General features: G+C 41.5%; 1 long non-coding RNA gene across 7 annotated transcripts in view, besides 1 other annotated feature; it reads right to left on the bottom strand.

The window, feature by feature from the left end:
* LL0XNC01-250H12.3 (uncharacterized) overlaps positions 1-7234 on the bottom strand; it is a 113164-nt gene extending 105930 nt beyond the window's left edge. For 4 of the 7 annotated variants that reach the window (NR_188439.1, NR_188440.1, NR_188433.1 and 1 more), the window contains exons 1-2: positions 6918-7234; positions 3715-3856 (exon numbers count right to left, since the gene is read on the bottom strand). This is a non-coding gene — a long non-coding RNA (uncharacterized LL0XNC01-250H12.3). The remainder of the gene's footprint in view (positions 1-3714; positions 3857-6917) is intronic. The other 3 variants (NR_188435.1, NR_188437.1, NR_188438.1) reach the window with 1 other exon arrangement.
* Positions 7074-7243: an enhancer, noted in NCBI's record as "active region_29817". NCBI's record gives its function as "activates an Ori minimal core promoter by ATAC-STARR-seq in GM12878 lymphoblastoid cells {active_cell/tissue: GM12878}" and the evidence as "EXISTENCE:reporter gene assay evidence [ECO:0000049][PMID:35858748]".

Raw genomic sequence — 13135 nt, 5'->3', positions numbered from 1 at the left:
AATCAACAGAAATGCCCATCAATGGTAGACTGGATAAGGAAAATGTGGTACATATACACCATAGAATACTATGCAGCCAGAAAAAAGAACGAAATAATGTCCTTTGAAGCAACATGGATGGAGCTGGAGGCCATTATCCTTAGCAAACTACGCAGGAACAGAAAACCAAATACCACATATTCTCACTTATATGTAGGAGCTAAATGGTGAGAACACATGGGCACAAAGAGGGGTACAACAGACATTGAGGCCTACCTGAGGGTGGAGGGTGGGAGAAGGGAGATGATCAGAAAAAATAACTAATGGGTACTAGGCTTATTACGTGGGTCACAAAATAATCTGTACAACAATCCCCTGTGACACGAGTTTACTTATATAACAAACCTGCACATGTGCCCCTGAACCTAAAATAACAGTTAAAAAAAGATATGTAGAAGACATTCATAGCACTATCATTCATAATAAGTCAAACACTGAAAAATAGCCATATCCCCATAATAGATACATTTAATTGCAAAATATCCACACAACATAATACTACACATTAATGAGAATGAATGATCTACAACTATAGACAACAATAAATGTAAAATTCATGGTAAGATGCTGAAGGAGCCAGACAGAAAAAAAGCACATCTTGTATGATTTAGGAAATTTTCCCCTGTTCTTTCAGTATAGTTTGGGGCTGATAAGAAAATCAACACGCCATTTCTTTTCATTTGAAGGTACTTAGTGTACTCTTATGTTACCTGCAGGTTAACCTCAGGAAAACATCCATCCTAAGCCCTTGAAAAGTGATTCACTATACGTAGTAACAAGGCTAATGCCAAGTCTAATGAACAGCGAGCTGGGAGCAAGACAGGACACATACTTGGGGCACAGTGACAGATCTAAACCATTAACTCTAGATGGTGACCTTGGGTAATCACCATACCTCACAAATGCTTTTTCTTCTTCCTAGGTGTATTGGTCAGGAGTGTGAGCTCTGGAGACAGAATAGAGACAAGCCCTAGTTCTGCCATGTAAAGACTGAGTGACTTTAAATACTTTCACTTCACCTTATAGTCACTCATTTGTTACATCCATAAAACTGGCATTACACAGTACATAATGTAGAAGACAAAACATTAAAAATATATTTATTAACTTGTGTTTTGAGTTTTTAAAAAGATAAATGGTGAGTAATCACATTATTTAAAAAATTCTCCTACAGAGATGCTGGGGAAAAAAAGCTTAATAGTCTTACAGCTGAATCATCTTCATCAACCAACATATTTTTTAAATCACTTATTGTTATTATAACTAATATTAGTTATAGTAAAACTAAATAACTTGAGAACATCTCAAAGCACTTGGAAGGTCTGATCTCAGAAAACAGCACCACCATTTCTCTGCATGGCCAAACAAAAAGCCCAGGGGTTCTCCTTAACTCTCCCTTATCTTCACACACCCCAGGCACACAGCCACTGCAGGTCCTACCTGCCCGACGTGCAAACACGCCCTGTCCAGGTCCATCCCTCCCTTTGTACATAGCTGCAGCCCTGGCCTCATCCACACACATCCCTCTCCTGGACTTCTGCAATATTTTCCTAATGGTTATCCCCACTCCCTATCTTGTCCCTCTCCAGCCCATTCTCCACACAGCAGCCAGAGTCAGCTTCCACATAAAGAATCAGATCACATCACTCCCATACTCTAACCCACCACACTGAGAATAAAACTCAAACTCCTGTCAGGCGCGGTGGCTCACGCCTGTAGTCCCAGCACTTTGGGAGGCCGAGGCGGGCAGATCATGAGGTCAGGAGATCGAGACCATCCTGGCTAACATGGCGAAACCCCATCTCTACTAAAAATACAAAAAATTAGCTGGGCTTGGTGGCGGGAGGCTGAGGCAGGAGAATGGCGTGAACCCGGGAGGCGGAGCTTGCAGTGAGCCGAGATTGCGCCACTGCACTCTATCTAGCCTGGGTGACAGAGCAAGACTCCGTCTCAAAACAAACAAACAAAAACCTCAAACCCCTTACAGGACTGAAACCATGTGGCTCCTGTCTACCCTTTCAATCTCATCTCCCACCTGTCTGCACTTATGTGCCAGGCTCCAGCCACTCCAGCTTGTCCTCTGCTCCTGGATCAATGGTGCCCACACACGGCACAGGGACACTAACAAAATGGCCTCTCCATGCCTGGCTTCTTCTTATCGTTCAGGACTCAGCTCAAGTGTCACTTCCTGAGAAGGAGCCTCATTGACAACCCCATCTATAATAATCCCTGTCTCAGTCATTTTCTACTCCACCTGTTTATTTTCTTCAAAACACATATCCTCATATGAAATCACATGGCTTATTGACTTGTTTACCTGCTTACTGCCACTTTTCCCAAACTAGAATGATAGCTCCAGGGACCCTGCCTATCTTATTCTCTGTGCTGTTTCCTCAGTGCCTACTTTAGTACTTCACATATAATCACTGAAATAATATTACTTAATTGAAGGAATTGCTGCCTATTTAACAGACCAAAGAAGACAGATATTTAAGCTGAGTAGCAGGAGCAACTATCAATGAAATTAGATATTAAATGATTTAAAACTGTAAGAAGATCCTGTACATCCATAGCAGCGCTTTTCAAACATGGATGATGTTATAGTCTGAATATCTGTGACCCCCCCCGCCTCAAATTCATATTAAAACCTAATACCAAGGTGATGGTATTAGAAGGTGAGGCTATGAGAGGTTTTTAGGTCATTAGGGCTCTATCCTCATAACTGAGATTAATGCTGTTATCAAAGAGACTCCAGAGAGCTAGCTAGCCCCTTCCACCAGGGGAGGTTATAGTGAGAAGTCATCCATCTATGAAGGAAGTGGGCCCTCAGCAAAACACTGAAGCTGTCAATGCCTTAATTTTGGATTTCTCAGCCTCCAGAACTGTGAGAAATAAATTTCTGTTGTTTATCAGCTACCGAGTTATGATATTTTGTTATAGTAGCTCAGAATGCACTAAGATGAGTACCAGACCAACTGAAGATATTACTTTAAATGGAGACACCTCCCATCCCACCTCCTTGGTTTTGATTCAGCAGATCTAGGGTAGGTCCAAGTATCTGCTATTTTAACGAGCACCTCCTGATGAATTTGATGAAGTGATCCATAGACCACACTTGGAAAAATTCTGACCTCAACATTTCACATTTGGCCAGGTGCAGTGGCTCACGTCTGTAATCCCAGCACTTTGGGAGGCCAAGGTGGGCAGATCACTTGAGGTCAGGAGTTCAAGACCAGCCTGGCCAACATGGTGAAACCCTGTCTCTACCAAAAATTCAAAAATTAGCTGGGTGTGGTGGTAGGCACCTGTAAGCCCAGCTACTCAGGATACTAAGGCAGGAGAATCGCTTGAACCAGGAGGCAGAGGTTGCAGTGAGCCAAGATCATGCCTCTGCACTCCAGCCTGGGTGACAGAGCGAGACTCCATCTCAAAAAAAAAAAAAAAAAGTTCACACTTGAGCACCATTAATTTAATGCCTACCATGCAGATTCTGGGACATCTGGAATATCCCTATTAATGTAATTACTCAAATGTACACTACTTTTCTAAGGAGGGGGGAAGATTGCTTTCCCACATGAGATCATACTTAAACTCCAGAGTATTCCTGGTGGTCAGGAATATTGGGTATTTTTATCCTGTTGTATAGACTAATCTAAAGGAAGGGTAGTGACTTACCTAAAGTGTCCCCATGATGGAATCTGGATCTCTTGACTTTTGCTTCAGTAGCCTGTCTAGCAGATTCAACACCACACCTCCATTCTTCTCCACAAACTACTGGTTCTGTGCTGCAGAGTCAACACCCTTGTCTGATGTTACACTAGATGGGAGAGTAAGAGGACAAGAAAGCACAAGGAATGAGTAGGAAGGTAAGAGGATGAAAAAGCACATGAAAAACAGGGGATGGGGTGATGATGCCTGTCCTGTCCCCATTCAGTTACTTGGAAGCTGTGCAATGATGCTTTTCGTCTTCCTCAGCTCCATCCCACAACCCTCTCCCCCACACAGAATGACAGTGAAGCTGTCACCTAGTGGAAATGTGGGCTTATCCCTGCTTGCTATTACAATTGCAAGTATTCTCTCTGTAGTCATGCTATTACATTAATATATGACATGAAAACCACAATCCGTAAGTGAACAAATCAATAAATTGGACTTCCTCAAAGTCAAAAACTTTTGCTTTTCCAAATATATGGATAAGAAAATGAAAATACAAGTCCCTGACTAGGAGAAAGTGTTTAAAATAATATATCTGATGAAGGACTTGTATCCAGAATATAGAAAATATCACAAAAGTCAGAGGAAAACAGACACTTAAGTAAATAAATGGGCAAAATATTTGAATAGACATTCCACTAAAGAAGATATATATATACAAATGTCAAGTAAACACATGAAAAGATACTCAACAACATTAATCGTTAGGGAAATGTAAATGAAAACTGCAATGAGATACTACTATATTCTTGTAAGAATGGCCAAAATTAAAGAAACTGACCATATCAAGCACTGGCAAGGTTGGGGAGGATAAAACTCTCACACACTGCTGGTGACAGCAGTGGTACAACCACTTTGGAAACAGCTTGGCAGTTTCTTACAATGTTAATCTTATATCTACCATATATCCAGCAATTGCACTCCTAAATATTTACCCCAAAGAAAGAACGCGTATGTCTATGAAAAGACTTATTCACATATGTTCATATCAGCTTTATTTATAAGTGTCCCAAATTAGAAACAACCCAAATATCCACCAACAGGTGAATGGATAAAGCAAATAGTGGTATAGCCATACACTGGAATGCTATTAAGCAATAACAAAGAATAAACTATTGATATATGCAACGAAATGGATAAATCTAAAATTAAATAGGGTGAATGAAAAAAGCCAGATTCCTCTTAAAAAAACCTCTCTATGATTCCACTTAAATACATTTCTAGGACATAAAACCAAATCTACAGTGACAGAAATGTGTTTGCCTGGAGACAGGGCGGTAGGAGGGGTAGGGACCCCAGGTACTATAGAACTGAAAATGTTATTTCCTACGAAATAATAATAATAATACTTAGGCTTATCTGGTTATTTTAGGAGATGTGACTAGGTATCATTATAATTGGGCAAACTATCAAGTAATTGTTATTTTCAAAAATACTAAATTCTTGTACCTGACATTTAACTAACACTTAATAAATTCCTGGCCTCTTAAAAAATTACATTGCAGAATGGATGAAAACACGCTAACCATGAAAGCATGCATATTACAATCTCAAATTGCTATGAAGACCTTCTAACCACCTGCATATTTCAACTTCCATCCGAGATACATGGGAATAATGAATTATTATTTATACAGTCAGAAAACTATGTGTAAATTTATTACAAATGCATGTTAAATATCAAGTTTCTTCCCCAACTGAACAATTCATTGCTTTAAGAAAGGTAGCTCCAAATGGGCCTCAAGGGATACTACAAAGCATGTAGCTGCTGATGCACGCAATGAAATCCACCTGTTGAGCCTCTTTTCCAGTGATAAGATCAAAGTGGCTGCTCTACTTTTAGACTACTTTGTGAACTACACAGCTACTATTCTGCAACATACTTCTGCTCAGATCTATGAACTCACTTGAGCCAGGCATCATATCCCACCAAGGATGGAAGTGCTAGAGATCTCCTGAGGACTGCTGTCCTGCAAATCTGAAGTAGAAGCTTCAGCAGTCATCATGACCTAGATCATCAGAACCCACCTCCTTCAGACACCTGATATAAGTTTAGTTGCCCCCGTGAAGTGCTTCCTGGGGAGAGACAGACTCCAGCAATCACTATGCTTTATTGAAGTGACTCTGTGCCTGCAACCATGCTGGGCACTGAATTAGTGACCAATGACACTGACACAATCAGGTAGTGATCATAACAACAGAAGGAACAATGAGTTTCTCACCAGGGCCTTTTCTTCTCCTTTCCATCTATCACCTAATAACAACTTTAAAAAAGAATGAGGAAACTGCCTGAGCCCTTGGTAGAGGAACACAACCACTACCAACCTGTAGCCCAACACCAAGGAATCTGGCACTGGGGACACATACCCCATCTTTCCCTCACTCACTTGCTAGTATCTCCCATTGGCCAAACCCAACTGGAAGCCTAAGGAGAAGGGATCTGAGTTGATGTAATCTATAAGGATCAGACCTGTGAAGCACAGAGTAGGGTGGTGAGGGGTGGAAGCTTTGAAGAGACAAATTGAGGCTATCCAGCACAGTATCTAATATACAACTGTGCTGTAGGCTGAATAACACTCCTCTGCCCCAAAGAAATCCATGTCCTAATCTCTGGAACAAGTGAATATGTTACATTACATGGTAAAATGGACTTTACAGATGTGATTAAGTTAATGATCTTAAAATGGTGAGGTTATTCTGGATCATATGGGTGGGCCTGATATAATTACAAGGGTCTTTATGAGGGAAATAGGGAGGCAATAAAATCGGAGAAGTAGATGTGACCACAATATGGAGGTTAGAGTAATGTGAGGGCATGAGCCAAGGAATGCCAGCAGCTTCTAGAAGCTGGAAAAAAACGAAAATTCATTCTACACTAGAACTTCCAGAAGGAACATAGCCCTGCTGACACCTTGATTTTAGCCCAGTGAGACCTACTTTGGACTTTTGAACTCCAAAACTGTAAAATAATAAATTTCTGTTGTTTTCAAAAAATAAAAGAAAAGAAATAGCCTGAATCCATAAAGCACCCATCGTCCCATAACAACCACAGGGCTATCTATCATCTTGCACCTGTGTTATCACTGCAGGTTGCAGCAATCCTGTGGGTGTGCATTCTTATCCTCATTTTACAGAACGGGACGCTGGGCTCAGAGAGTCCTTACCTGTCTGATCCTCCCACGTCCCGCCTGTATAGAAAGTTGCCCCAGGACACCCGGAGCAAGACATCACACTCACTGGGGCGAGGAGGGTCCCAGCTCTTTCTCTCTCTCATGAGACCGCCAGGGCAACTTATGCCAAAGCGGGAACGAGGGAACTTGGATCTGGGCTCCTTTCGTCTCTCCACACCCCAGGAAGGTTCAGCCCCCACCGCGGGGCACCCACACCCTCAGCTGAGTCCCAAACACCTGAAGGCGGGACCCTGCTCTTCCTGCCCGGCCACGTTGGTCTCTATTTTAAAAGTCTTCACGGTCGCCGTTATGACGTCAGGTTTCTATGGCAACCGTGATACGCAGGCTGGTCCAGCACACCGGAAATGCCATAGAGTGGCCTTTTGACTCCTTGGCTTTCACAAAGAGAAAATGGCTTCACTCTTCAGGCGGCTTCCTGGGTAGCTATAATAATTAGAGGAACTAGGCTGGGACGGAGCCAATTGATAGAATTCTGCCAGGTTTGATGGAACAATGTCCCGGTTGTCAGTAGTTTTGTTTAAAAGTGACAGTAGAGGAATATCACCAGTGCACAGAGACCTGGAGCTCTTGGAGATAAGCTAGCTCACTGAGGAGGAGCATGTACAGTTCACACACCACACTAATCAGTTATCCATCTGTGGCAGAAAACTAAGACTGTCTATAATCATGTGACTAAAAGATCTAGGAACAACAAAATAAGTCATTTAAGATATCTCAGAGTTATTTCAGTAATGCAAGCCTAGAAACCTAATCAATTCAACCATGCAATGGTTTGTCTTGAGAAAATTCTTATCCTTCATTCCTACATGTGGAGGGACATTCATGACCACAACATTTCTAGACTCTCTATACACTCAATCCTTTTCTGTCACAGGAGGAACTTCTCTAATTGGTGAGTTGGGAAGAAGAAAAAGGGGTTGCATTGCCCAGGCTGCCTCCCTTCAAAATTCTTGGTAGTAAGCTGCTCTTCAGGAGCACTTGTTCTTCCCTGCCCTCAGAGGTGGATCTTTTTTTTTTTTTTTTTTTGAGATGGGGTTTCACTGTTTCACTCTTGTTGCCCAGGCTGGAGTGCAATGGCACAATCTTGGCTCACTGCAACCTCCGCCTCCCGGGTTCAAGCAATTCTCCTGTCTCAGCCTCCTGAGTAGCTGGGATTACACGCATGCACCACCACACCCAGCTAATTTTTATTTTTAGTAGAGACAGGGTTTCTCCCTGTTGGTTAGGCTGGTCTTGAACTCCTGACCTCAGGTGATCCGCCTGCCTCGGCCTCCCAAAGTGCTGGGATTACAAGCATGAGCCACCGAGCCCAGCCCAGAGGTAGATCTTACAATAGGCCCACAGTGCTACTCCTCTTTCTGTGCCTCACTGGCTCAACTATTTCTATTGTCTTTCTCCAAATTGCTTGGATTTTTTAAGCAATTTACCTCCATGCTTCAAGTCTAAGCTTGAAATCAAGTAATAAATAGATGAAAGAAGAAAAATACATGGACTTTATTCCTCATAAAGAAGATACTGGAGAAGATGACTTAGATTTGCTGGCATGTGGGCTTCCTATGAAGGATCCACAGAATTGAAAAAGATTTATCCACCAAGTAGTGCCATGACAGGAAAATCATAAAGGCCAAGGACTGCAATGCATATCAAGCTGCTGTCTGGTGCAGGAGTCCTATGTGTTCCCATGGAAAGTAGCTTCCTTGCAAGGCTATCCCCTGTAGCAGGAGAAAGAGTTTCAAGATCTCTTCTTTCAGAAACACTTCTTAAAGTACGTAAATAACCCTTGTTCAGAACGAATACTCACCAAGCCAAAGCCAATCTCTGAGGCTTTCCCCGTGGAGTCATTTGTGACAACACTTTGTCAGTACCTTAATTCATGTGATTTCAATAGAGGCTCATCTCATGGAATTAGGTTCTAAATTCAGAGTAGGTTGAAAATCATATATTGTGATAGCTTCCATTGAAAATTCCTTCAAGAAGGAATTGACTAAATATTCAGAAATTTATACACACACACAAACAAACACAGAGACTATACTCAAAATTATTAGTATAACAATGTCCCACCAAGCCTTCAAGGATAAGAGAATCCCTTTGATATCCAATGATAACAAAGTACAGAAAAAGGGGAAAAGTTCACCCAAACCATGTTTTAGATAACCATTTCTACCTAACGAATACCCCAAAACAAACCATTTATTATCTCTCAGAAATCTGAGTGTTGACTGAGCTCAGCAATGTGTTTTCTGCTGCATGTGGTGTATGTTTCGCGGGGCTGTGGGGCTACACTCCACTGGGACATCCAAGAGAGTTTACTCACATGAAAGACAATTGGTGCTGATGCCACCTGCAGCTCAGTTGGGGTTGCTTCCTGGAGCACCTTGGTTCAGCACAGAGTCCCCATGTTTAGGGCAACCAGATAAAATAGAGGATATCCAGTTAAATCTAAATTCCAGATAAAAATGAATAATTTTTTAGTGTAAGTATGATGGTTAATTTTATGCATCAACTTGACTGGGCCATGGTACCCATATATCTCATCATCATTATTCTGAGTGTTTCTGTAAGGACGGTTTTGGATGAGATTAACATTTAAATTAGTGGACGCTGAATAAAGCAGACTGCCCTCTATAATGTGGGTGGTCCTCATCCAATCATCTGGAGACCTGAATAGAGCGAAAATCTGACATCCCTGAGCAAAAGGGAATACTGCTAACAGATAGCCTTCAGAATTGAATTGCAACATTGGATCTGCCTTATTCTCCAGTCTGCAAGCCCACCCTACAGAGATTGGACTTTCAGCCTCCAATAATCATGTGAAACAGTTCCTTAAAATGAATCTCTCTCTATCTCATACACACACACACACACACACGCCCTACTGGTTCTGTTTCTCTGGGTGTGGCATGCAACATTATTTCATTTATCTGAATGCAACTGGGAATTCTGTATTTTTATTTGCTAAATCTTGCAACCCTAGAAGAGGAATCTCTGGATATGTAAGTTTACCAACAGTCTGAAATGACACTTCCAATGGGGCAGGTGTGGAGAAAACGAGCAGTTCAGATTGGCAAGAAAAGACAAAAGCTGTTAACAACTAGTGTTGGTGAAATGAAGAAGAAACGGACTCATATACACGATTAGTGCCACACCGATGTATCCGTTTTCTGAGGCCAGTATTATTACATCTTAATAACTTGAATGGACTTTGTGCAGAAGTCCTATTTCCACCAACAAGGGAGTTTCAGCTGAGGGTTTAAAAAAAGCTCATCAAAGTGACTCTGATGTGTATGCTGGTTAAGGGGTCTTGGCTGAAAAGGCAGGTAAATTTGTCACATGAGTTCCTGCTCGAGGGAAGAAAGACAGCTACCATTTATGGAGCAGATTGTTTAGAGGTGCCCAGCTCCAGGTTCTTCACCTTGGTAGTTGGATTTAATCTCGACAGCCCTGCTAGTGAGGTATTGCTATCCTTTCTTCATGAATGTAAGTGACTACAAAGCAAGTACTCCTAACCATAGAGCTGGATGGCAAAGAGGTTTCTCACCACACCCACTGCCAGAGCCAGGGATAGAACCTGCCAGCTTGGGTACCTTGAGTTGCTGGTGAAAGCACTTCAGCAAATGTATCAGGACATGTACCGCTGTGAGGTTAATTTCTGTTTTCCCATGTTTACCCTCCCTACAGAAGGGAGCCAGGCTTTGTCCCCCTTCCCCTTGCCTGAGGGGAGGTTTATGGCAGGGATGGAAGCAGAAGCTGTCTGAAGCCATTATTTCTTCCATCCTCTGTGAAAATCTAAGCTTAAAGAAAGGGTTGGCCTACCTGCATCTGGTAGGGAGGGAAGGGCCTTTGAGGACACAGAAAGGGGATAGGAAGGGAGTTTTCTTCCAGACAAGGATGAGGTCAGAGGTCTACAAATCCCTCCAGGAGTAAGGACATGAGCACTGGTGCATATCAACACTTGAGGTGGATCCATGGATGATTCATTGAGGCTGTGCATCCAGCCTTGAAAGAGATTTTCTTGTTTGGATGGCAGGATGGATGAAGCAGGGTCAGGGGTCCTGAAGGCACCAAGGGAAATGGTCAGCTTCGCCCTGAGCAGTAGGGAAACATGATTGATGATGGCAGGGTTCTCTCAGGATGTATCTAAAGGATACATTACTACAAATGATCATCTTTATCAAAGAGTATGACCATTTAACATATTAAGTATTTGCTGTCTAGTTGAAAGTTAAAATCTCCTTACTAATGAATATCCCAACCAACTCCAAGATGAGAGCACTCATTTTTTTAGATTTGTGCAATAACGGCTTTTCCAACTTTATTAATATTTGCTGATGAAATATTCTATGCTGTAATGTTAGAATATGTTTCATTTTCTCCGTCTATTTCCACGTAAATGGCATATTTCACATGTGCATTTTTAAATGCAAACATAATGGTTCCACTTTATGCCTCAAGATATGTCCTGGAATAATTGTAGAGTTTGGCAAGAAAACCAGATCAGTAAGTTTGTGTTTTTGCTGTGCCCTGTTTAAATTGAAATTATGGAGTCAGGAGAACTCCACACACTGCCAGGAGAGGAGAAATTGGTACAAGCTCTTTGTGGAGACACTGCACAGCATCTGTGAGAGAAGCAAGCAAGGCCCTGTCAGCCGCAGCCCTCTCAGGTCTGCACTTCAGAGAGTTTTGCATGTATGCAAACCTGGTCACAGCAGCGTGGCTAAAATATAGTTCCAAAGTTGCCTGATTAAAGAAACTTCAGAAACGCTATTTTCAGTGTAAAAATCTCCATAAGTGGTACCTAAATATACTACTTCTATAGTTAGAGCTTAAAATATGTGAAGAAATTATGTGTTCTGTTCAGGAGCGTATAGTCATATGCCCTATAACGACGTTTCAGTCAATGATGAGCCGCATATATGACGGTGGTACCATTAGATTATAATATTGTATTTTTACTGTAACTTTTCTATGTTTAGATTATTTACCATTGTGTTACAATTGCCTACAGTATACAGTACAGTAACTTCCTATAGGTTTGTAGCCTAGGAGCAATAGGCTATACCATCTAGCTTAGATATGTAGTAGGTTATACCATCTAGGTTTGTGTAAGTACACTTTATGATGTTTGCACAATGACACATTTGTCAGAACGTATCCCTGTTGTGCAATGCATAACTATGTTCATGAATAATAAATATGGAACAAAACTTTAGAATGGTAAAAAAAATTTGATTTGGATAATGGTTCCCTCAGGGGTAAGACAATCAGAGAAGATACATAGAAGCATTTACTCTGCAATATTTGACTTGGTTGTACACATGTTTGCCTATTATGGTATTTATTATAAGTTTTTAAATGCCTGAAATCTAACATATTTGACATGAATAAGTCTTTAATGGGCCTTATCTCTGATTAACAAGTAACCCATTGTGCACTTAGAAAATACGGAAAATGCACTCATATACCAATATGAACATATTGATAACATTTAACCCCACCATGGACTAGTGAAAACTGTAATCATGGTGGTATGTTTCCTCCAGTTGTCATCTACACACGTGTGTACATGTGCACACACACACTGTATATGCATTGAATATGGATTTGATTTAACTGGAATGTATCAATTTTCTTTAAGTGTGTAACTACAAAGTTAGTGGCTGAAAGCTACATCTAAGGTCATGGGTCTGTAGGTCAGAAGTCTGGCACTGTATGACCTTGCTCTCAATTTAGGGTCTCACAAAGCTGAAATCAAGGTATCTATGTAGACTTGACTGAGATCTTTTGTCTGGAGGCTCTGGGTAAAAATTTGCTTCCAAGATCATCCTTGTTTCTGGGAGAAGTCATTTTCTCAAGACTATTGCACTGCAGCACAACCCACCTCCCAGTTTCCTTGACGGCTATCGTCTTAGAGTCTTCTCAGCTCCTAGGGGCTACTCCAGTTCCCTGATACGTGATCTCCTTCTTCCAGCCAGCAATGGTGTGTTGAATGCTCCCTGGGTTCTGATTCTCTGATTTCCCCTCCTCTGAACAGCCAGAAAAAAATACTCTGCTTTTAAAAAGCTCATTTGATTAGGTCAGCCCCCAGCCAAATTATCACCCTTTTACCATATAACAGAACATAATCATGTAAGTGATATCACGTTATATTAACTGGTTCCACCCACATTCAGAGAAGAGGAGATTATACA

This window comes from Homo sapiens, chromosome X, assembly GCF_000001405.40.
Source record: "Homo sapiens chromosome X, GRCh38.p14 Primary Assembly".
Taxonomy (NCBI): Eukaryota; Metazoa; Chordata; class Mammalia; order Primates; family Hominidae; genus Homo; species Homo sapiens.
This window is presented reverse-complemented; position numbering and strand designations above follow the sequence as displayed.